Raw genomic sequence first — 25,004 nt, 5'->3', positions numbered from 1 at the left:
AACAATACAAATAAGAACCTTTTGAGAGCCAATTTACCATTGGATTCCAATAACACAACTGTTAGACCTTCAATATTGTTGTCAGGTTCCTGAGGCTCTGCTCATTTTTTCAGTTTTTTGTCTCTGTTCTCCAGATTGAGTAAATTGTATTGCTCTCTTCAACTTCATTGACTCTTCTGCCATCTTCAGTCAGCTGTTGAATCCATCAAATTGAAATACTTTTACATATTTTTTCAGTTCTAAAATTCCTATTTGGTTCTTAAACTTATTTTTTCTACTCTCCTGAGGACTTCTATCTTTCCATTCATAAGAGTGCTTATTTCATAACAGCTGCCTTAAACTTTGTAAGTCCAACATCCGGATCATATTGGTGTTGACATCTGTCTTTTTTCTTGAGAATGTATTACATTTTCCTGGTTCTTTGTATGCCAGGTAATTTTAGATTAAATGCTGCACATTCTGAATATTATAATTTAGACTCTAGGTCTTGTTAAAATATTCTGGAGAATGCTGATTTTTGTTTAACAATAAACCCAGATAGGTTCATACTGAAAGTTTTCTGCCGTCTTCTGTGGCTGTGATTCCCAGTTGCTTTCAAAAAGGGTTATATTATATTGGATCAAGCTTATCATGTACTGCTCAGTAATCTGTGTCTTGGCCAGTGGTTTAAATTGTACTTTAGTTCCTAAAGCCTCTAGTGTGCTGCTTTGGGTCTGTCCTGAGTATGTAAGCTTAGAGCTTGTACTAATTAACACATAGAATAAAGGGATTCCTTCTGCTTTGTTCTCTCTGGTTCCCCCCATCATGCCCTAAGACAGCCCATTCCCCTGTCCTCTGGCCAGAAACAAGGGTTTTGCTTGGAATTTTAGTTCCACCACTATTACTATGCAGTTCCCACAACTCAGGCCACCCTCAGAACAGAGAGAGTAAATAGAGAAAAATGCAGATGACCTCCAGTCTTCAAGACTGCAAAGGCTCTTTTCCCATTTCCTCTGCCCAGAGAGAGTGCTTCCATCAATTTTAACTGTTGGCACCACTTGCTAGCACAGCTTACCTGAGGGCTTACCCAAGACAAGCCATGAGAGAAAACATAAATACCTGGGGATTTCCCCTGACATTCTCTAGCTTCCAGGAACTCCTTTTTCTCATCTTTTGGGTTTTTCCTCAAAGTTTATCTGCCAGAAGGGCCTCTGTGACAGCTCTTCTGGGTGCCCTCCCTTGGCTCAGGGTCAAGAAAGAGGGGAGAAATGAGAAGTTCACCCTTGTATGGGTCTTTTCTCCAGGTCTGACTCCGTCTTCAATCCTGCTGCTACCCCCCACCCCACCCCCACCCCCAGTGTTCTCAGTTGTCTTTTACATTTTGTACAGAATTTTTAGTCAGTGAGAGAGGCTTCAATGGGCTTATGCCATTTTGACTATACTGAAATCCAAAACTGCATTACTCTTAAGAGCTCCAAACTGGAAACACCACAACTGTCCTTGACATTAGAATGGACAAACTGTGATATATTTGTACAATGGCATGTAACAGCAGCAATGAAAATGAACAAATTAAAATTACAATGACATCAGCGACATGGGTGAATCTCACATTATTTCTGTTTAGTGACTAAGAGAAAATCATTTTCAGCTTTCAAAGAAAAAATTACCCTTCAAAGAAGAAAAAATACAAATTGTATGGTTCTACTTAAAGTTCAAAAGTAGGCAAAACTAAATTACAGTCATGTGTCGCTTGACACAGATACATTCTGAGAAATGCCTTGTTAGGTGAGTTCACCCTTGTGGGAACATCAGAGTGTACTTACACAAACCTAGATGACTGCCCACTACACACCCAGGCAATATGATATAGCCCTAGGCTACAAACCTGTACAGCATGTTGCTGCACTAAATATTGTAGGTGAGTGTAGCACAATGGTAAGTATTTGCATATCTAAACACAGAAAAGCTACAGTGAAAATACCGTATAAAAGATAAAAGATGAGATACCTGTAAAGGGCACTTAACATGTACAGAGCTTGCAGAACTGCAAGTTGCTTGAGGTGGGTCGGTGAGTGAATGTCAAGGCCTAGAACATTACTATACTTTTAAACACTGTACTTAGGCTACACTAGATTTATAAATTTTTTTCAATAATTAACCTTAGCTTACTGCAAGGTTTTTACCTTATTACTTACAGTTTTCACTTTTTGACTCTTTCACAATACTTAGCTTAAAATACATTGTACAGCTGCTCAAAATTATTTTCTTTATATCTCATTCTATAAACATTTTTCCTTAAAAAAATTTTTGTTGAAAACTAAGACATGAACACACACATTAGCTTAGGCCTGCACAGAGTCAAAATCATCAATATCACTGTCTTCCACTTCCACATGTGTCCCACTGGAAGGTCTTCAGGGGTAATAAAATGCATGGAGCAGTCATCTCCTATCATAACAATGTTTTCTAGAATATCTCATGAAGGATCTGCCTGATGCTGTTTTACAGTTCACTTAAAAATAAGTAGGAGTGCATTCTAAAATAACAATAAAGTATGGTAAATATGTAAACCAGTTTCAAAGTTGTTTATTATCAAGTATTATGCGCTATACTTCTATGACTAGCAGCGCAGCAGGCTTGTTTATATCAGCATCACCACAAACACGTGAGTAAATGCGTTGGGCTATGTCACTAGGCGATGGAAATATTTCAGTCTCATTATAATTTTACTGGAGTATTGACCTATAGGCAGACCATGTTGACTGAGATGTTATATAATGCACCGATGCTGTACAATGTTAGAAGTCAGAATAGCTGTTGTCTTTTTTCTGAGAGATGGGGTTCTCACTATGTTGCCCAGGATGGTCTCCAACTCCTGGGCTCATGCGATCCTCCCACCTCAGCCTCCCGTAAGTGCTGGAATTACAGGTGTGAGTCACCCCACCCAGTCAGTAACTGTTATCTTTGTAGAAGAGGAAGGAAGCAGATTGTCAGATGACACTAGGAGAGTTTTTGGGGTGCGGTGAACATTCTATTTCTTGTCTACATGGTGATTACACATGTAGTAATTTAGTGATAATTCTTTGAGCTGAACATTTGAGTTGTACAAACTTCTGTACATAATTTATCAATTTTTAAAACATTTGAAAAATCATCTCTTCCTGCTGTTTGCAAATGATAGAACCTTAGCTTAAACTGGCCTATGTACGAAGGGGAACTTTTAATAAGCATACCAAGATGCCTAGTGGAATCCATGGACAGGAGTAATACAGGGCCTCCTGTATTGAGCCAGGAGCTCAAATACTACCAGAAACTTCTCTTCTTACTACAAATGTTTCCTCCAGGTCAGTGACCACTGACATGGTATAATCATTTTATATAATATGCACTGAGACATTTGTGATGTGTACCTACTGTATTGTTTGCTCAAGACCTGGCCTACTTTCTTGGGACAGCATCACCTTCAGGGAAAATGGTCTTTCCCCATTCCATCCATATGGTTTTCACAGTAGAAAACCATAGCTAGTGTTCTACCTCAACGCCAATCCTCTAGTCACAGTCAATTAGTCCAGTAATGTGCACCTGACCTGTCCTGGGAACCCTACTCCTAGAATTTTTGGACTTGGAAATTCTCGGGAGTACAGTGCAGAAATCTGTTTTAATAGCCCTTCCGGTGATCAAGTTTAATAACTCTACTGAAGACTAGCCTATTTGGTTGTGCCTGTTATTTCTTTAAAGGTGGTTTAAAACTGGCATTGTACTCAATCAATACTGTCAATTCATGGTAGATGGGAGGCAGGGGTGGTGGTGGGGGGCATTCAAGTATCAACAAAGGATACGATACGAAGGACTACAATAATATAGTTTGGCAAAGTTTTAGAATATTTATAAACTCTTTCCAGAACTAAATGGCTTTTTTTTGTAGCAGCAGAATCCATCTACATCATGGTAGTCATGAATTCAGACTTCAGAAAAAGTTACTGTCAAGCATATGATTACAATTTTAGAAGGAAAAAGAAACAAAGACATTATCTTCAAATTTAAGTGGCTGACTACCTATTGAATTAGGTACTTTTTCTTCTTTATAATTTATTATATATTTCTCAAATTTCAATATGTATAGAGGCTAGGCGTGGTGGCTCATGTCTGTAATCCCAGCACTTTGGGAGGCTGAGGCGGGAGAATCGCATGAGCCCAGGAGTTCGAGACCATCCTGGGCAAAATAGTGAGACCCCATCTCATAAAAAAAAAAAGAAAGTTTTTCTCTTTAGGAAACTAAAAGTCAATAGTCTATGGTAGTACAACAGCAGGTAAAAAATACAACAGCAGGTACAACAGTGGGTGGATCACATGAAGTCAGGAGTTTGAGACCAGCCTGACAAACATGGTGAAACCCGGTCTCTACTAAAAATACAAAAATTAGCTGGGCATGGTGGCATGTGCCTGTAGTCCCAGCAACTTGGGAGGCTGAGACAGGGAAATTGCTTGAACCTGGGAGGCAGAGGTTGCAGTGAGCCGAGATCATGCCACTGCACTCCACCAGCTTGAGCAACAGAGCAAGACTGTTTAAAAAAAAAAAAAAAGTATAAATTGTAAAAAACCAATTAATGTTATAAACAATACAAACAATACATACGATAGTTTTATCAAGAAATATCTAAAATCAGGAATTAAGATATATGCCAAGCTTTCAATAGCAGTTAATGTATACTTCTGTGCAAAAGCAAACTCATGTCAACATTTTTACATAAGAAACATTTATTTAAAAGAAACATTTTCTCCTTAAAAAAAAAAAGACCTTCTACCCTTCCACTTAACATGTCATAACCATGTTACGGACAGTACTTCAATATTTCCGGATTATGGGATTGCAGACAACTATCATTTTTTACCTTTATACTTTTTAATATTTTTAGTTTATGTTCTACAGCAGAGTTTCTATTACTTTCGAAATCAGAAGAAACAGATTTTTTTATTTCTTTTAAAGAGAAAACATTAAGATGACTTAATGTAGATAATTTGTTTCAAACTAGCATTCAGTTAACATAGTTTTAACCAGTTTGTATTACAGTAAATAAGGCCGATGAGTATAATCGGTTTCATTTTCAGACTGGTAAGCAGAGGGCCATTTAGCCACCCAAGACTTATATTTAGGATCATTCAAAATACATCAGTGGTTGAACCTCCATATGGGTTTTTCTGTTGCACTGAGTATATAACAGGTTTAAACTTATGTATTGATTTATAATACAAGTATAGTGACATTTAATTTTAAATGGCTCTTCAAGTTTTTAGACTGGCTTGAGAGAAAAAAACAGAAGGGTGTCTTTTTTCCCTCTCATCACTATTAATCTAATTGTAACATGTAATATTATTTTAATTGTAATTATTCTAATTGTAACATGTAATTGCAAAGCAAATATCTCCTAAAGGAATATGGAGAACTCATTAAACAGTGTACAATTCTTGATTTTTCCATCCATACAAGAAAAGATGCACGTGATCACCTAAATATTCGCATTTGGTATGAAAATGCATTAATTGTCCCTCTTGGAAACTCATAATAGCTTTTTGCTTGTTTTTTTCTAACTAGATACCATACATAGTTATGATCTAGGCAAATGCTAGCTTTTTATAACTAGGTATCAATTCACAGCAGGTAAAAAAGTTCCAAGAACAAATCAATTTAGAGTAAACTGTAAATTTCCTTCAAGTAAAATCCATATATGAAATAACTCTGACAGAGAAAATATAAGACATAATCCAACCCCATGAAGACTAAATCTGAAAGGGCAATATGATTTGGGTTTCTGTGGTTAAAGAAAAACTCAACTGAGTAATTTATTAAAACCAAGTGTAGGCAACTGAGAGGAAAAAAGGAATCTTACCATATCCAGAGATTAATTAAACACTTAAAGAATATAAATTTAATAATAAACATTATGGTCAGGCTGTTTATTAAGGAGGCAACCACATATACAAGTTCGGCTATAGAAATGTTTGCAAATCAAACGTCATGTGACCTTAAAGGACCATGCTTAACGTCAAAAATGGACACCTGTACATTCAATAAAAAGTTAATTTAAACATACATAGTCTAGATCATTCTAGAGTTATACAAACATCTGGGGCCACATATGTATCTAATTTTCTTTCAAAAAAACTTTTTTTTTTTATAAAAGTGATGTATTGAGATAATTTTAAAAAGTATCTGACAATTATGAATGGTCCCCAGTTTTACAAAATGTGATTTCCAGGATACGAAACTGAAAAAAAGTCAACTCTTCAGAGAGTGTTTTATATTGTACAAACAAGTTTTGTAGAAAAATGATCCAGCAAATGCTTGAGTTAAGAATATTTATATTTTTTCCAATTCTTTACACTTTTATTAACACACTTACAAAAAATAACATTCAAACACTGAGAAAATTAAATAACTTTGGAAGCAGAGCTCATTGTTTTCTGCTTACATATAAGTGACAATTCTGGGCTGTTGGCACAAAATAATCAACATTCATAAAACCCTTACTACTATATATCAAACATAAGTTAAAATCATAGGCACTAGTTTATCAAATCCACATTTCTTCTGTAAGACTAACCACAGTAAATCCTTAGATTTTCCCAAACAGAAAAATTGCAATATACAAAGGCTTTCTAGTAAAAAGGCAATTTTTCTCTTTAAGAAACTAAAAGTCAACAGTCTGTGGTAGTACAACAGCAGGTAAAATAATACTTTACCAAACTCAGATCAAAAATATGTTTTAACAAGTGATGAAATATTTTAATAAAAAAAAATAGACATTTTTTTCTGATGCAGCCATTTAAAAACAAAGTTAAATAACCTGAATACTCCTTTTGAAACTGATTATCTAACTTAAAAAATGTAATATGTTTCATAATAGGTAAAATTCCTTTTAATTATTAGATTGCAGCATATATATTTTTTGAAATGTTGCACTGAAAACTGAGACTTGTTCTGTTTTGTACGTGGTTTTTAAAAGAGACAGTAGCTACTTCTTTCTTTTACTTACTTAGACATGAGATACCCCCCTCCCAAAAGAAGATGCTTTATCTTCCTCTGAAAAGCAACATTTTTTAGTTCATTATCATGTAGAATTCTGGCGCCATCCTTTCCTGACCCACCCCATCACCCTCAAATTCAAGGATAAAGTTTCTTCCTTGCATTATACACCAAATACATAGTACTGGCAGTTTAAATCTCCAGCTGCTTGTGCTAAATGAATGACTCTCCACTGGTCAAGCTGACAGACTACCATGGTGTCAGTCATGACAGAATGGAGGTCCTGGTTTTAAGTTTTTATCATCAACCTATCAACCTTAATGCTGTCCAGAATATCAAGCCTTCTATTTCTCTCTCCCAATTTCTTTTGCCAACTTACGGAATGTCTTTGATTAACAGGAAATGAACTTATGTTCAAATCTCTAAAAGCTTTTAGATGACCTAAGTGACAATATCTTAGAGCTGTTCAAATTAAGTATTTAAAAACAGACCTCATAATAAAAAATGAGAGGCCTGCTACAGAAGCAAGTTTTACTCTGGTAAAAGTCTGATAAAATTGAAATAGCCGATTTCAAGGATATATTAAGAGCCATTAGAGAGCAAGTATCAGGTTAGAGTCATACGTAGTAGGGTTTTTTTTTTACCAAAAATGCAAAAATTGATGTAAGGCAGAATCTAAGTCAAAAGGAAAAGAATTTTCAATAGATGTTTTATACAGTTACTCAGTTTAAAGTGGATCAACTTAAGTAGGATTTAGCAGGCTATATTTTCCTACCACATAATAGACCGTTATGCCATGTAATAGCAACAATACAACTGTCATCACCAGAGATTTTGTAGGTTAAGTGCATAGATTTTTTTCCCCCTCTCTCTCATGGTATGGTTTTGTTCCAGGTTGCAAGCACCGAGGTGGTGTTGTATCAAGAATAAAGACACACACTACTTGTTCTTTCCTATCATGAAAACCTGCTAATAGAAACAAGATCTCTTAGTTCTGTAAAGATAACAGCATGTGAAGAAGTTGGCTTCAATAGCAAAGGCCATCTTTCCTGAGCCAGGAACTATAAAGTTCAGAAAGATTGTACAACTGATATTAAGCCCTTTTGGCAATCAAAACAAACACACACAAGTTTGATGTGTCAATGCAACATGATGGATACATGCTGTAACACTATCTGGTGGTGGTGACATGTGAGCTACATCCAAAACTTAAGATTAAATGACAATTTTTCTTTTCTAATGAATCTGCAAAAATCATTTCTGAAATTCTGCTAAATTTAGGAATGTTTTAATCTCTAGCCCAGGTTTCTTTCCTCCCACCCCCTAATCTCAATCTGTAGTTTCCTGGTGTACTAGTGAAACACTTTAGATAATTAGTCAGAATATTAGTTCTCATTAACACAAATATTTATTGATACTATTTATACAGTAAATTAGGTTGAATGTGAAGTTTTGGATAGCCTGAATTCACCATTTTCTTGTGCACAAATGGGCATTTTTCTCATTTACAAATGGGCATTTCTCTTTGGCATCCATTAGGTATTTGCCCAGATATTGGCCTCTGTCAAATATTTTTTAAAAATCAACCTAGTTTCTATTAAACAAAACTAAAAGTGATTCTATGGAGAGTGATTGTATGATTACCAAACACATCTGATGTTAAATGTCATTAAAGTGCTGTTTGATGATCTCTGTCGGTTTGTGCTAATTAAGACAGAGAGGGCTGGGATTTTATAAATCCCAAGAGTCTTATCTGAACAGTCTGCATATAAAAGTTGTTTTTTAGCCTGGTGAAGGGTATCCATGAAGCCGTGGACTTCTGCATTCTTGTCTTTGCTGGTCAGTAACAGCCATCTTTCCAACTGTCATCTTTCATGCTACCATAGGTTTTAGGAGCTGGCAAGGATCTGTAATAAAGCAATTTTGTAATTAAAATTTGATAAATGTCTTTATGAAATAGTACCATACTATCTCACACATATATTAATTACTCTTCAGGTGGCATCACGATCCCATGAAGGCCGTACCAAGTCCTAAGCTCTAAACAGGTACTAGTACAACCTCCCCACACTCTGCATTTTCACAACTTCCAAGTTTTACTGGGCACCAGATGACTTCCCATTTTGTTAACATAGCTACTAGATAAAAGAAAGGAAAAGATGGTCTCACCTTTTCCAAGCACACAGATAACCAACCTTATCATTTACTTATTATTTTGAGAGGCAGAATGATGAATGTGATATTAGAAGCTCAGTGTCAGCATCACTAGAAAGGCAGTATGGGACAGTGATTAAAAGAGCTCCAAAGTCAGACATACTTGGAACTCATAGTTTTATTAGCTATGTGGCCTTAGGCAAATTACTTAATTCCATTAAATTTCAATATCCTCTTTTGAAAAATAGAAATAAGAATACCTACTCATTTAATATTATTATGAAGATTAAACAAAGCAAGCATTTACTTATTTAGCACAGTGATAAATATTTCCAGTTTAATTATATTTGACACCAAAGTTTACTGATGGTGGTAATCCCATTCTTGAAAGGTTACAGATGCATCATTCCCAACCTGTCTGATTCAGAATCATCTGAAGATTACGCAAACAAACAACAAACAAACAAAAAAACCAGCAACTGTAATCCCAGCATTCTGGGAGGCTGAGGCAAGCAGATCACTTGAACTCAGGAGCTCCAGACAAGCCTGGGCAACATGGTAAAACCCCATCTCTACAAAAATTAGCCAGGCATGGTGGTGTGCGCCTGTAGTCCCAGCTACAGGGGGTGCTGAGGTGACAGGATTGCTTGAGCCTGGGAGGTCAAGGCTGCAGTGAGCCAAGATTGCACCACCGCACTCCAGCCTGGGAGACAAAGCAAGACCCCATCTCAAAACAAAAACAAAACAAAAACAAAAACAAAACAAAAAACAACAACAAAATACCTAGCACACCCACAGATTCTGGGCCTCATAACAGATCTACTAAGTTAGACTCTCTGAAGGTAAAACTTACACCCTACATTTATATAAATCTCACAGATAATTCTGAATTATAGAATAAGGGTTTGAAAACCATGCTTATAGATTATACTCAGACTTGGTAGCTAGAAGTTTTATCTTAAATATCACTCTATATTCTAATATACCTTTATCATCTTTATTGAATATAATTATATTCGAAATGAATGAATATCACAATCAAATTGAGAGGCTCTAACAATTTTTTTTCTAGGGGTCCTCTGAGATGCTTAATCACGTTAGGCAACTGGACAAATTTAATCTGAACCAAACTGGTAAAAGTCCCAAATGAGGATTTCTTAAAAACAATGTAGTAAAGTTTTATTCAAATGGTACTAAAACTCTGGTGGGAATCCACCATGACTTTCTGTTTACTATCAAACATACGGATGAAGCTAATTCATTCCAGTCTATCCACTTTCAGGCACTCAAGAATGCTGAAACAGAACATCTGCCACTTACCTGCGAACAGGCTGTGCAAGTTTGCTGCGAGGCACTGGTATGCCCCCAGCAGAAGGGGCACTGGGTCTGGGCAAGCCACTTCTCATTGCAGTTGTCCCTGCAGGTCTGGTTAGAGTAGCGCTGTTGATATTGCTGGGAGGATTTGCTGAGACTGTGCTCTGAACCATAGGAGGCCCAGGTGAGGAGGTGGTTTGTGTGAGCTGTGTTATTTCTTGGCTACCAGGAGAACCAGAGCCATGGTTACTAAATGCTTTCACTGGTTGCCGAAGAGCCAAAGGAGATGGTGCTGCAGGGGAACGGAATTTGCCTGGAGAAGGTACTGTGGGATGGCAAAGAAAAACCAATTTTTGAGTGGAAATCTGTATATATGAAACCATTGCTTTAAATTACAACTGATGATTGGGCACTAGTACATGTGTATTCAGGAAACTTCACAGCAATGCAAACAATAAAAGCTATTCCTGGGCTACTAAAAGAAAAAAAGTAACTGTGAGTTCTAAATGACCAAGTACTTAGAGGATTACAACTGTCTTTGACAACAGTATTTTAAATAGGCCAGCTTGGAATCCATAATACCAGAAGAGAAAAGGCACTGCAGGATTCTGTCTCACAGTAGCAACTAATGTGGGCCACATATGAACAAACATTCTAGAGGTGAAAAACAGGTTGACTACCCAACTGTTGTCTAGAATTTGAAATGTATTTCCCCTGAAAAGAAACATTCACGTAAACATGTATCAAGTATCTGGAGGCTCTATGTCCAAATCCCATATTACTGACACTGTAACTAAAAATTTAGAAACTAAAAATCATTTTTAAAAAGTGCTTCCATTGCTGTGCTTCACAAAGCACAACATGATGAAAAAACAAACAAAAAGGCAGCTGGGCATGGTGACATGCACCCATAATCCCAACTACTCAAAACTGAAGCAGGAGAACTGCCTGAACCAGAGATGCAGAGGCTGCAGTGAGCCGAGATGATGCCACTGCACTCCGGCCTGGGTGACAGAGCAAGACTCTGCTTCAAAAAGAAAAAAGAAGATCAGGCGTGGTAACTCACACCTGTAATCCCAGCACTTTGGGAGTCCGAGGCGGGCGGATCACCTGAGGTCAGGAGTTCGGGACCTGCCTGGCCAACATGGTGAAAAACCCATCTCTACTAAAAATACAAAAATTAGTTGGGGGTGGTGGTGCATGCTTGTAGTCCCAGCTACTTGGGAGGCTGAGGCAGGAGAACTGCTTGAACCCAGGAGGCGGAGGTTGCAATAAGCGGGGATCGCGGTACTGCATTCCAGCCTGGGCAACAGAGCGAGACTCTGTCTCAAAAAAAAAAAGGAAAACAGAAAAAAGCTTATGTCCACACAAAGACTTGACTACAACTTTGTAACAGCCAAAGACTGAAAAAAGCTCAAATGTCCATCAACACATGAATGGATAAACAATTTGTAGCATATCCACGCAACAGAATACCGCTCAGCAGTAAAAAGGAGTAAACTACTGATGTATAGAACAAAGATGAATATCAAAAATTTTGCTGAATGAAATGAGTGCCAGACACAAAACAGTCCGTGTGTACATACACACACACACACTGTAGAATGTTGTGTTATAAAGAAATTTGAGGAAAGTCATATCTAATTTATGGTAACAAGCAGCAGAACAAATGTTTGTTGGAGGTTGGGAGCAACCTTGGGAAATTCCACCAAATGTTTAAGAATGAACACAAATTCAACATAATCTCCGTCACAAAATAGGAAAGAACATGTCCCAATTCATTTTATGAAGCCAGTATTACTGAGATACCAAAACTAGAAAAGGACAGTATCAAAAAAGAAAACTTCGGATCAATATTGTTTACAAATATAGATGTAAAAATCCTTAAAAAAATATTAGAAAATAGAATCCAGCAATATATAAATAGATTTATATGCCATGACTAAGGAGGATTTATTCCAAGATGCAAGGTTGGTTCAATATTTGAAAATCAATCAGTGTAATCCACAGTAACAGGATGAAGAAAAATCACAGAATTGTAACAGCGGACTCAAAAAAAGCATCTGACAAAATTCAACACAGTCATGAAAAAAGTTCTCCGAAAAACAGAAATAGGGAAAATTTCCTCAACCTCATAAAGAACATCTACAAAAACCCTACAGTTAACATTATACTTAATGAAGAAAGATTGAATGCATCTCCCCTAAGACCAGGAACAAGACAAGAACATACGCTCTTACCACTAATTCTAGCCAGTGCAATAAACAAGAAAAAAAAAAAAGAAGAAGAGGGAGAAGGAAGGAGAAAGAAGGAGGAAGGAGAAAGAAGGAGGAAGGAGGGAGGAAGAGGAGGAAGAGGAAGAAGAAGAAGAAGAAATAATAATAAAAGGCACAGAGGTTAGAAACTGTCCCCATGGTTGTCTACACAGAAAATCCCAATGAATCTACACACACACACACTTCTAGAAATAATAAGTGAATTCAGTAAGGTCACAGAACTGGATAAAAATACAAACACTGACTATGTTTCTATATGCCAGCAACGAACATTAGAAATCAAGATTAAAAATACCACACCATAGATAGCTCTTATTATTTTGAAATACATCCCATCAATACCTAATTTATTGAGAGTTTTTAGCATGAAGGGTTGTTGAATTTTGTCAAAGGCTTTTTCTGCATCTATTGAGATAATCATGTGGTTTTTGTCTTTGGCTCTGTTTATATGCTGGATTACATTTATTGATTTGCGTATATTGAACCAGCCTTGCATCCCAGGGATGAAGCCCACTTGATCATGGTGGGTAAGCTTTTTGATGTGCTGCTGGATTCGGTTTGCCAGTATTTTATTGAGGATTTTTGCATCAATGTTCATCAAGGATATTGGTCTAAAATTCTCTTTTTTGGTTGTGTCTCTGCCCGGCTTTGGTATCAGAATGATGCTGGCCTCATAAAATCAGTTAGGGAGGATTCCCTCTTTTTCTATTGATTGGAATAGTTTCAGAAGGAATGGTACCAGTTCCTCCTTGTACCTCTGGTAGAATTCGGCTGTGAATCCATCTGGTCCTGGACTCTTTTTGGTTGGTAAACTATTGATTATTGCCACAATTTCAGAGCCTGTTATTGGTCTATTCAGAGATTCAACTTCTTCCTGGTTTAGTCTTGGGAGAGTGTATGTGTCGAGGAATTTATCCATTTCTTCTAGATTTTCTAGTTTATTTGCGTAGAGGTGTTTGTAGTATTCTCTGATGGTAGTTTGTATTTCTGTGGGATCGGTGGTGATATCCCCTTTATCATTTTTTATTGTGTCTATTTGATTCTTCTCTCTTTTTTTATTAGTCTTGCTAGCGGTCTATCAATTTTGTTGATCCTTTCAAAAAACCAGCTCCTGGATTCATTGATTTTTTGAAGGGTTTTTTGTGTCTCTATTTCCTTCAGTTCTGCTCTGATTTTAGTTATTTCTTGCCTTCTGCTAGCTTTTGAATGTGTTTGCTCTTGCTTTTCTAGTTCTTTTAATTGTGATGTTAGGGTGTCAATTTTGGATCTTTCCTGCTTTCTCTTGTAGGCATTTAGTGCTATAAATTTCCCTCTACACACTGCTTTGAATGCGTCCCAGAGATTCTGGTATGTGGTGTCTTTGTTCTCGTTGGTTTCAAAGAACATCTTTATTTCTGCCTTCATTTCGTTATGTACCCAGTAGTCATTCAGGAGCAGGTTGTTCAGTTTCCATGTAGTTGAGCGGCTTTGAGTGAGATTTTTAATCCTGAGTTCTAGTTTGATTGCACTGTGGTCTGAGAGATAGTTTGAAAACTGGCACAAGACAGGGATGCCCTCTCTCACCGCTCCTATTCAACATAGTGTTGGAAGTTCTGGCCAGGGCAATCAGGCAGGAGAAGGAAATAAAGGGTATTCAATTAGGAAAAGAGGAAGTCAAATTGTCCCTGTTTGCAGACGACATGATTGTTTATCTAGAAAACCCCATCGTCTCAGCCCAAAATCTCCTTAAGCTGATAAGCAACTTCAGCAAAGTCTCAGGATACAAAATCAATGTACAAAAATCACAAGCATTCTTATACACCAACAACAGACAAACAGAGAGCCAAATCATGGGTGAACTCCCATTCACAATTGCTTCAAAGAGAATAAAATACCTAGGAATCCAACTTACAAGGGATGTGAAGGACCTCTTCAAGGAGAACTACAAACCACTGCTCAAGGAAATAAAAGAGGACACAAACAAATGGAAGAACATTCCATGCTCATGGGTAGGAAGAATCAATATCGTGAAAATGGCCATACTGCCCAAGGTAATTTACAGATTCAATGCCATCCCCATCAAGCTACCAATGACTTTCTTCACAGAATTGGAAAAAACTACCTTAAAGTTCATATGGAACCAAAAAAGAGCCCGCATCGCCAAGTCAATCCTAAGCCAAAAGAACAAAGCTGGAGGCATCACACTACCTGACTTCAAACTATACTACAAGGCTACAGTAACCAAAACAGCATGCTACTGGTACCAAAACAGAGATATAGATCAATGGAACAGAACAGAGCCCTCAGAAATAATGCCGCATATCTACAACTATCTGATCTTTGACAAACCTGAGAAAAACAAGCAATGGGGAAAGGATTCCCTATTTAATAAATGGTGCTGGGAAAACTGGCTAGCCATATGTAGAAAGCTGAAACTGGATCCCTTCCTTACACCTTATACAAAAATCAATTCAAGATGGATTAAAGATTTAAACGTTAGACCTAAAACCATAAAAACCCTAGAAGAAAACCTAGGCATTACCATTCAGGACACAGGCGTGGGCAAGGACTTCATGTCCAAAACACCAAAAGCAATGGCAACAAAAGCCAAAATTGACAAATGGGATCTAATGAAACTAAAGAGCTTCTGCACAGCAAAAGAAACTACCATCAGAGTGAACAGGCAACCTACAACATGGGAGAAAATTTTCGCAACCTACTCATCTGACAAAGGGCTAATATCCAGAATCTACAATGAACTCAAACAAATTTACAAGAAAAAAACAAACAACCCCATCAAAAAGTGGGTGAAGGATATGAACAGACACTTCTCAAAAGAAGACATTTATGCAGCCAAAAAACACATGAAGAAATGCTCATCATCACTGGCCATCAGAGAAATGCAAATCAAAACCACTATGAGATATCATCTCACACCAGTTAGAATGGCTATCATTAAAAAGTCAGGAAACAACAGGTGCTGGAGAGGATGTGGAGAAATAGGAACACTTTTACACTGTTGGTGGGACTGTAAACTAGTTCAACCATTGTGGAAGTCAGTGTGGCGATTCCTCAGGGATCTAGAACTAGAAATACCATTTGACCCAGCCATCCCATTACTGGGTATATACCCAAAGGACTATAAATCATGCTGCTATAAAGACACATGCACACGTATGTTTATTGCGGCACTATTCACAATAGCAAAGACTTGGAACCAACCCAAATGTCCAACAATGATAGACTGGATTAAGAAAATGTGGCACATATACACCATGGAATACTATGCAGCCATAAAAAATGATGAGTTCATATCCTTTGTAGGGACATGGATGAAATTGGAAACCATCATTCTCAGTAAACTATCGCAAGAACAAAAAACCAAACACCGCATATTCTCACTCATAGGTGGGAATTGAACAATGAGATCACATGGACACAGGAAGGGGAATATCACACTCTGGGGACTGTGGTGGGGTCGGGGGAGGGGGGAGGGATAGCATTGGGAGATATACCTAATGCTAGATGACACATTAGTGGGTGCAGCGCACCAGCATGGCACATGTATACATATGTAACTAACCTGCACAATGTGCACATGTACCCTAAAACTTAGAGTATAATAAAAAAAAAAAAAAAAAAAATACCACACCAATTGCATTGCTTGAAAAGAAAACCACTTACATATAAATCTAATAAATCTGAGCCAATATAAGTTTGCTGTGAAGAGCAAACGAGTAATAAATGTGTAAATTGTTAGTAAAATGTAAAATATTAAACAAATTGTAAGGCATTCTTATCTGTGGCTTTCTTATCTAAAGAACAGGCCTCCTTTAGTCTGCTACACATGAATTTCCTAGATGGATATTCAACAATGCCACTCAGAACAGTCTCCTAGGCTTTCCCTATAAATTAACTCAAATGTAAATATTAAGTTATTACCCAAAATGTATTACCCAAATTGATATTGACAAGTTATAATTTCTCTTTACTCTTTTTGAATACCAAGAATTACACTCGAGTCAGGCATAATGTGAAGGAGATCTATCTGCTCTGAGCAAAAATTAGAACTCTATTTATAAAAATGACATGACTAAGAATCCTAACCTTGGTGTCTAAGTTATCTCCAAATTAGGATGATGGGTAATAGAGAATTCGTATCTTAAAATATTTTTTCTTTTAATAAGTATTTAATAATTGTGCTAAGTTTGTTTTCTACTTAAGGTTTCTATAATTCAGGCATGCACTTAACCCTAAAATGAAAAAACTGAATAAATTATACATATCTTTTTAACTTGATATTCACTGAAAATAAAATGTTTTATAAAAATATATCCAACATGTACCTAGCAATACAAAAGTTAGATATTCCAAGTTGTCTTCACAGAGCAGTCTTCCTTCAAACTACAACTTCCCTTAGCTGCATAATTTATAAAAACTATAAATGCCCAGTAAGTATATAGTAATAAAAATAAACACATTGCCAAACACTGGTCATCATGACCAACAGGAAACATCATTTATTAAAACACATATGAATTCCATTATTAACAAATGAAGGACAAAAATATCTCCTTGTCAACGATCCCTTACTATACTGTCATATCATTTCAATTATTCAATGGTATCTACCCTATCAATGATAATCACAATTTACTGACACAAGTATTTAAAAATAAGTTCTGGCTGCTAAAGAACAAAAAGATGAATTAAATATGATTCTCTCACTACAGAATTAAAGAATCCTTGTAAAAAAAGTTATTACTGACCATGTACTCTAACCCTCTCACTTCATGGATAAGGGAAATTACCACAACCACAGAAGTCAACTGAGCAAATAGGAAAGTCAGGATGTCGTGTTATAACTGAACTGAACCCAGGTCTCCAGATTCCCAGATCAGTATTCTTTACCAGGAACCAAAAGAGAAACATCTCTACTGTCATTATCAACATTTTTTTTTTTTTTTGAGGCAGAGTCTCGCTCTATCACCCAGGATGGAGAACAGTGGCACAAACTTGGTTCACTGCAACGTCTGCCTCACAGGTTCAAGCGACTCTCGTGCCTCAGCCTCCCAAGTAGCTGGGACTACAGATGCAGGTCACCGGGTCTGGATAATTTGTTTTTTTTTGGTAGAGACGGAGTTTTGCCATGATGGTCTGGCTGGTCTCAACCTCCTGGCCTCTTAAGTGATCTGCCCATCTCAGTCTTCCAAAATGCTGCGATTATAGGTGAGCCACCGTGTCTGGCCAAAGTGTCATTATCAACACTTTAATTTTCAACCAGACTCAGAAAGTTTATTTGTGGGGTTACTATCCTAGGCAGGTTTTATAAGGTATGACTCCAAAGCATATAAAAATGGCAATTGCTGACAAGTAACCATAAAAGAGAAAGACACAGAAACCTTTGATTTCTTCTTCCATTAACGTACACGACTATTATTTTGTAAGCATACAAAAATTGTTAGTTATTAGAAAAATTTATTAAATGTAAGATGCAGAAAATGCCCCGAAAATAGGGCTTCAATACCTTTTCTTCCATAAATACAAAAAGATATATATGAATGCATAAGCTACCAGCAAACATTTACAGCTTAATCTTCCAATTTACTCTAAATAGAAAATAACTTTGGAACTGATCCTCTTCAAGATAATTGCCCCAACCTCAATAATGACTTTTAGAAATAAACTTTTTAGAAAGAAATATGTTTATTCAACTGAAAACCTTAGCCACCCTTTGGGTGCCAAAGCTGAGACACAGAGAGAGAGAGAGAGAGGGAATGTGTGTGTGTGTGTGTGTGTGTGTGTGTGTGTGTGTGTGTGTGTGTGTGTACATATACAAACATACATTACAGGAACTATTAAGATTCATTAGATATCTCCACCCTGGTAGGGGAAGTTTTTAACAAAATAGCCACATTTCCAAAATTAGGGAATTGATTAGGTATCAAAATACATGATATCAAGATTTGAGAGACACGTTAGTTTTAGTACACAGTATATATAAACAGCTGTACATCTATACCTATATAACTTATTGTATTTTAGTTTAATAAATTAACATATAACTAACCTTAGAGTGTCTAGTGAGGAAAGCGGAAAAAATGTCAATGTCAAGATTAAGAAACATAATTATGAGGATTCTTGAAAGATGGTACCGGCATTGGTGTAATTTACGAATTTCCTCAACTCTCTCCATAAAAACATACAGAGCAACTAGGAAGGTCAAACCAAAACCCATTTACAATAGCTACAATAAAACCAGGTGATGGAGTATCTCCATGAGGCCCAAAATACAAGTGGGTAGGAAGAAGTCACTGACAACTACAAGACCATATGAATTATCAGTATCTGTGCAGAAGGAAGCAGAGGAATATCTCAATGTCCTGAAAATTCCAAAATAACCAACAAGTACTCATACAAAAAAATGCTGAACAGAAGCTGAACTGGGAAGGATCTGCATACTCCAATAGTGAGTGAGTACAAGAGGTCTACTGTAAGGTCTAAGAAGAACATGAGTGGCTATGAATTCTTAAAATTAACCAGCCAAATCCCTCTTCCAGGTAAAACTTCATGCTAAGGAAAAAAAAAAAACTCAGAAGATAATCCAAATAGAGCAGAACAGGGACATTCCAGATAAAGGAAAATGAAGTCCAGATAAAAGCAGGGAAGAGTTCAAAATGCTGCTAGGACAACTGGATATTCACGTACAAAAGAATGAAGTTGGACCCCTACACTTCACACTATTAAAAAAATTAACTCAAAATGGATCACAGACCTAAGTGTAAGAGCTAACCCATAAAGTTCTTAGAAAAAAACATAGGAGTGTTTGTTTGTTTGTTTTTTGCATCGTGAATTTTATTCCTGATGTGGTACAGATTTCTTCCATCCCCAAAACGAATCACATGCTGCCCTGGAAAGACCTAGGAAACTCTCCCACCATCTCTAGGGAAGTAGTGAGAAAGATAGATGCTGAGGACTAGGAAGGCTTTGAAATTTCCCAGCCTACTTATCCTCCCCTTCTCAACAGGGAGAGCTGTTCCCTATTATCCCTCTCATCCAGTCATCCCTTAAACACACACACACATACACACACACTCACTAGTTAAAACAACAACGACGAAAAAACACCAACGAAACACAATTGCTTCAAGTATTCACGGTCAGGGGTCCTAAGCTGGGACTTGGGGTTATGGGTCAGCAATGGAAGAGGGAAGGGAAGAGGAGGAGGAAGAGGAGGAGCCATCACTGTTTCTGCTATAGGGCTTCCTTCCTTGCTGCATTCTGCAGCAACTTTGTCGACCCTGTCTGCTGGCAACTGCACATTTTGGACCACTAAGCCCCGAATGAAGATGTGAGGGTATTTCTCAGGGTCTGTAACGCTGATGTTAGTTAATCTGATGTTGAGATACTGATCCACAGCATGCAGGGGTCCACAGATAAGCAGGTCATTCTTGAGTTCCAGGTTTACATCCTTGCCCACAGGGATTGAAAAAGGAATAGAAGAGCATGGTCCTGGTGCTGGTGCTGCAGGCCAGATGGGGAGGAGGGCAGGATACTGCAAGCGGAGCCGGACTTGGGGAAGGGAAGGGCTGCAGAAAGCTCCAAGTACCGAAGGGGAAAGCGCAGCGGATTCGTGTCTGGCAAGAGCAGGTGGGGTAGAGCAGAAGGAACAGGAGTAATGACTAGGGTTAGGCACTGATTTCTTATGACACTATGAGCATGACCCATAAGATCAAAAATTGATAAATGATACTTCATCAAAATTAAGAACTTTTGTGCTTCAAAGGATACCATAAAGAAAGTGAAGAATAAATCCACTGAGTAGGAGAAAATATTTACAAATCATGGATCTGATATGGGACTTGAATCCAGAATATATAAAGGAATGTGACTACTCAATTAAAAAAAAAAAAAACTAAAAAAACAGAGACAAAGAATTTGAATAGACATTTCTCCAAAGAAGATATACAAATGGCCAATAAGCACATGAAAAGATGCTCAACATTACTCATGCAAAATAAAAACCACAATGAGATTCCACTTTACAACACTTCACCAGGATCGCTAAAATAAAAGACAACAAGTGTTACTGAGGAGATGGAGAAACTGGAACCCTCATACAGTGCTGGTGACACTGTAAAATGTTGTAGCCACTCTGGAAAACAGTTTAGCAGATCCTTAATATGTTAAACATAAAGCTACCATATGATCCAGTAATTACACTAAGCATATAATCAAGAGAACTAAAACATGTCTGTCCATGTAAACACTTGTACATGAATGTTCACAGCATTATTATTATTATTATTTTGAGATGGAGTCTTGCTCTGTCGTCTAGGCTGGAGTGCAATGGCACGATCTCAGCTCACTGCAACCTCTGCCTCCCAGGTTCAAGCAGTTCTCCTACCTCAGCCTTCCGGGTAGCTGAGGTTACAGGCGCCCACCACCACACCCAGCTAATTTTTGTACTTTTAGTAGAGACGAGGATTCACCATGTTGACCAGGCTGGTCTCAAACTCCTGACCTCAGGTGATCTGCCCACCTCGGCCTCCCAAAGTGCTGGGATTACAGGCGTGAGCCACCGGGTCTGACCACAGGATTATTCACAATAGGCAAAAAGTGGAAACAACTCAAGTATCCACCAAGTGATGAATGGATAAACAAAATGTGGTGCATCCACGCAATGGAATATTTGGCAATAAAAAGGAACAAAGTACAGTTATGTGTCACTTAACGATGGGGATATGTTCTGAGAAATGAATCATTAGGCAAGTTTGTCCGTGTAGGAACATCTGAGTGTACTTATGCAAACCTAAGTGATTTAAGCTACTACACACCTAGGCTATATGGAATAGCTGATGGCAGGGTCGGGGGAGGTGGAGATGGTTAATGGATACCAAAAAAAAATAGAGAAAGACCTACTATGTGATAGCACAACCAGGTGACTATAGTCAACAATAACTTAATTGTATATTCTAAAATACCTTAAAGAGTGTAATTGGATTGTCTGTAACACAAAGGATGAATGCTTGAGGGGATGGGGACCTGATTCTCTGTGATGTTATTATTTCACATTGCTTGCCTGTATCAAAATATCTCATGTGCTCCATAAATACACACACCTACTATGTACACACAAAAAATTTTTAAAAATAGTCTATGGCTCCTAGGCTACAAACCAATACAGCATGCTACTGTACTGAATACTGTAGGCAATTGTAACACAACGGCATTTGCATATCCAAACATATCTAAACATAGAGAAAGTACAGTAAAAATGTTATAAAAGACAAAATATGGTACATCTGTATAGGGCACTTTCCATGAATGGAGCTTATAGAACTGAAATTGAGTGAGTGGTAAGTGAATGTGAAAGTCTGCAGTAGGGTACACCCTACTGCAAACCTTATAAATACTACACACTTAAGCTACACTAAATTTATTTTTCTTCAATAATAAATTAACCTTAGCTTACTGTTAACTATTTTAGTTTATAAGCTTTAACTTAAAAACGTGACTCTTTTGTAATAACACATAGCTTGTAACACAAACATGTTGTACAGCTGTCCAAAAATATTTTCTTTCTTTATATCCTTATTCTACAAGTGTTTTTTAATTTTAAATTTTTATTTATTTCACCTGAATTTTTTTTTTTTTTTTTTTTGCTAAAAACGGACAGAAACACACACATAAGCCTAAGCCTATACAGGGTTAGGATCATCAATATCACTATCTTCCACCTCCACATCTTATCCTATTGGAAGGTCTATGATGTTACTAGGTGATAGAAATTGCCACCATCGTACACGCAATCCACTGTTGACTGAAATGTCGTGTTTTTTTTTTTGTTCGTTTTAGATTTTTTGAGATAGGGTTGTCTTGCTCTGTTGCCCAAGCTGGAAGTGGTGCGATCACACCTCACTGCAGCCTCAACCTCTTGAAACTCAAGCAATCCTCCAACCTCACCCTCCTGAGTGGCTGGGACCACAGGTGCGTGCCACCATGCCTGTCTATTTTATTTTTTCTGATGTAGTCTCACTATGTTGCCCAGGCTGATCTCAAACTCATGGGCTCAAATGATCCTCCTACCTCAGCCGCCCAAAGTGCTGGCATTATAGGCATGAGCTACTGTGCCTGGCCCTGAAACTCTGTTATGCAGCAAATGACTATACTGATACATGCTACAGAATGACGAACTTAGAAAACATTATGCTAAGTAAAAGAAGCCAGTCACAAAAGATCATATATTGTATAATTCCATTTATATCCAATGTCCAACATAGGCAAATCTAGAGACAGAGAGGGTAGATGAGTGGGTGCCAGGGGCTGGAAGAAGTGAGGAATGAGGAGTTCTATTAATAAGTATGGGGTTTCTTATGGGGGTGATAAATATCTTCTAAAATAAGATAGTGGTAATGGTTTCTCCCTCTGTGAATATACTAAAAAACACCAAATAGTACACTTTAAGAAAGGGTAATTTTGAAAGTGGAGTGAGGGAATAAAGGAAAGAAATCTCAGAAAATAAGCAGCCATGTTTCTGAACACTTCCAAATACGAGAGAGAGCTAAGAACCATAAAATTAGTAAGTCTTAAATCAAGCTAAGTGTTTAGAAAAATCAATTTCATGGAAAAATGAGCAATAGAAAAGGACTGAAGTCAAATCACACATAAAGTTATTACAAGAAAAAAAAGAATTTAAATAAGGAGTAGAGTAACTCTTCTACAAGAAGTGAAATCTTACCAGAAATCATGGTAAGAAATCATACACACAAAGATGAAATTATCTATTATTTCACATTTTAAAAACATTTTAATATTGCTACAAGATACGAAAGAATAGCATAAATCGGAGTGACAAACACTCAGAAATGAGCTGATGGAACTCAGGAAGGAATTGGCTATAAAATGAATCATTTTAAGAAGAAGACTAAGGAGAAACATAAGAGTCAATATACACAATACATAATGTAAGAGAAACAGACAATGAAAACAAACTTTTAGAAGAAAAAAAATAATTCGAGAGAAGGCAACAAATATTAGAAACAAGAAACGAACCTCGAACATGCATACAACAGGAGTTCCCACAAAAAAGAAAACCAAAGCAAGAGAACAGAATATAAAAAACTATAATTCAATAAAACTTTTCTGAAAAACAAAGTTTGCTACTCTATAATGAAAGAACATACCCCGAATCTGGGAAAATCAGCTCAGAATGATCAATACTAAGACATATTCTAGTAAATTATTATAAAGAAAAAGAAAATATCTATTGTACATCCAGATAAAAAGACCAAATGATTATAACAGAAACAATTCTTTATTCCTGCAGAAGGTGGAGTAATACATTTAAGTTAAAGAAAAAGTGAGCCAAAGATTTCATATCTAGACAATTACTTTCAAGTATGAAAACAAGAGATAAGTTATCATCAACATGCAAAAATTGAAAGAATGAATACTGTTCTCATAATTCCTTAAGGAATCTATTACAGAATAAGCTTCAGACAAGAAAAATGACTGATGAGACAATGACATATAAACTGGCATTAGGCATCAAACATGTATTTAAACGGAGAGCCTAAACTAAATGAGGTATGTGAAGGAGAAAATAGTATGTAACAGGTATCTGACAATGTGGATATAGCTTAACTTAAAAAAAAAAAAAAAAAAAAGAGAGAGAGAGCATAACCAAAAGTTGTAAAAATTGTTTTCAGTAAACATATTGTATGTTACGCTAATGTTATTCCAAGAACACTTTATGTGAAATATGGGACAAAACAAATTATTATGATATTCTAATTCTATGTGTTGCTAAGAAATAAGATTCTCAGGATGAGAGAATGCTAAAGGAGGTTAAATAATTGCCCACAAGCTCTGCATTTAATATTAAAAAAATATACAAACACAAACCTACACGTTTCCTAGCTCTAGTAACTAAAAAGACCTGGAAACAATGACCAACCCAGTAGCAATAAGTATAGCTAAACACACAGATTTTGGTCTTGAAATACCATTGCCTACCAAAAGCAAGCAGGACTTTTTGGAGAAATGCCTGACTCCAGGTCTCTGGCAAGAAATGTACAAGACCAGCCAATCTTGTCATACCAGTTAGCAAGACGGTATCAAAGACTACTAGAGTTGTGTCAAAAAGACTTGGAATCCAACTTGTAGAGGCTTCCAGCAAAGTTGGAAAAACATCTAGAATGACCTGAAATGTATTAAAAAATACGTTTAAATCTGTAATTTCATAATGAAAAACATTTTTTAAAACTGGCCAC

General features: G+C 36.9%; 1 protein-coding gene and 1 pseudogene across 3 annotated transcripts in view; both read right to left on the bottom strand.

Moving 5' to 3' along the window:
- Positions 1 to 4,722: 4,722 nt before the first annotated feature.
- Positions 4,723 to 25,004, bottom strand: part of SLAIN2 (SLAIN motif family member 2) — an 84,673-nt gene continuing 64,391 nt past the window's right edge. For all 3 annotated transcript variants that reach the window (XM_005248121.4, NM_020846.2, XM_047416023.1), the window contains 2 exons: positions 10,481 to 10,799; positions 4,723 to 8,913 (listed from right to left, as the gene is read on the bottom strand). In XM_005248121.4, the coding sequence (XP_005248178.1) occupies positions 8,847 to 8,913; positions 10,481 to 10,799 (386 nt within the window). In that variant the 3' untranslated portion in view covers positions 4,723 to 8,846. The remainder of the gene's footprint in view (positions 8,914 to 10,480; positions 10,800 to 25,004) is intronic.
- LOC107986278 (U6 snRNA-associated Sm-like protein LSm2) lies at positions 17,907 to 20,666 on the bottom strand (annotated as a pseudogene).

Source organism: Homo sapiens, chromosome 4 (genome assembly GCF_000001405.40).
Source record: "Homo sapiens chromosome 4, GRCh38.p14 Primary Assembly".
In the NCBI taxonomy this organism is placed as follows: Eukaryota; Metazoa; Chordata; class Mammalia; order Primates; family Hominidae; genus Homo; species Homo sapiens.
The sequence above is the reverse complement of the archived record's forward strand: the minus strand, read 5'-3'. Positions and strand labels throughout refer to the sequence as shown.